A 1,585-nucleotide genomic window follows, 5' to 3' on the forward strand; every position below is an offset into this window, starting at 1 on the left:
AATCTTTGACTCTTGAAAATATTGTTTCTCACACATAAATATTTCTATAAAATAAATTAGTTGAATTAGAATTGTTGGAGTTCAAGACCAGCCTGGCCAACATGGTGAAACCCCATCTCTACTAGAAACACAAAATTAGCCGGACATGCCGGTACATGCCTCTAATCTCAGGTGAGGCAGGAGAATCACTTCAACCTGGGAGGCAGAGGTTGTAGTGACTCGAAATCACGCCACTGCACTCCAGCCTGGGCGACGCGAGCGAAACTCTGTCTCAAAAAACCAAAAAAAATTAAACATAAAAAGAAAAGCGGTACATATACCCAATAGAACACAATTCAGCCTTAAAAAAGAAAGAAATCATCTCATTGGCAACACGAATGAGCCTAGAGGATGGTACACTGAGTGAAAGAAAGCAAAGGCCAGGCACGGTGGCTCATGCCTGTAATCCCAGTACTTTGGGAGGCCAAGGCAGGTGGAAGCGTTGAGCCCAGGAGTTGGAGATGAACCTGGGCAACATGGTGAAACCCCATCTCTAAAAGAAACACAAAAATTAGCCAAGTGTGGCGTTGGACGCCTGTAGTCCTAGCTATTCAGGAGGCTGAAGCGGGAGGAACTCTCGACCCCGGGAGGTGGAGGCCGTGGTGGGTGAGTGAGCCGTGTTTGTGTCACTGTACTCCAGCCTGGGTGACAGACTGAGACCCTGTCTCAAAAAATAAATAATTACATAATAAAGATTTAAAAAGCAAGCACAAAAAGACAAATACTGCATGATCTCACTTATATGTGCAATCTCAAACAATGCAACTCATAGCTGCAGAGAGCAGAACGGTGGTTACCCGAGGCAGGGGTCAGGGAGGGACTGGAGAGATGATAGTCTCATGATACAAAATTTCAGAGAGGAATGGTTCTAGAGATCTATTGAACAGCCTGGCATCTACAGTGTATAAGTATGTATTGTATACTTGAAAATTGCTATAAGAGTAGATTTTAGACATGTCCTCATCACATTAAAATCAGTATGTGAGGAAACGAGTGTGTTAATTAGCTTGATTTTGTCATTCCACAATGTATACACGTATGAAACATCATGTTGTATGCCATAAATATATATAATTTTTATTTGTCAAGTTAAAATTAAAATTCATATAAATTATAAAAGTAAAATGAAATAACATACACTACAAAAGACGTTTATTTATTAAATCCCCACAGAAGGGGTCTAAGTGATAAAGGAAAATAAAATTCCGGGAACGGTAAAATCAATCAGAAATGCCCTACTTCAGTGCTTTCCGAAATTTGTCTGACAGAGTGGAAATCCAGTTTTTCACTAAGTCACTGTTCTGGAACAGTTTGTGTGTGTGTATGTATGTGTGTGAGGGCTCACATACACAAATTGAACTAATGGAAGTGTAAGCATTCAAATTATCAGTTTAATTTAGTTCTATACATATACACACACACACACTCACACACCGAAAACATTGATAAAATCAGCCATTCCAGCAAAACTAGCTACTTAGTGTCTATCTCTCCTTGAAGATTCAAACTAGAAATGAGGATTTAGAGAGGCATGATGGTTCGTTCT

General features: G+C 39.9%; 1 annotated feature.

The window, feature by feature from the left end:
• Positions 240–741: an enhancer, noted in NCBI's record as "OCT4 hESC enhancer chr8:86820803-86821304 (GRCh37/hg19 assembly coordinates)". NCBI's record gives its function as "activates a minimal SCP1, AML or CMV promoter by ChIP-STARR-seq in naive H9 embryonic stem cells {active_cell/tissue: H9 hESC(naive)}" and the evidence as "EXISTENCE:reporter gene assay evidence [ECO:0000049][PMID:30033119]".

Source organism: Homo sapiens, chromosome 8 (assembly GCF_000001405.40).
Source record: "Homo sapiens chromosome 8, GRCh38.p14 Primary Assembly".
NCBI lineage: Eukaryota > Metazoa > Chordata > Mammalia > Primates > Hominidae > Homo > Homo sapiens.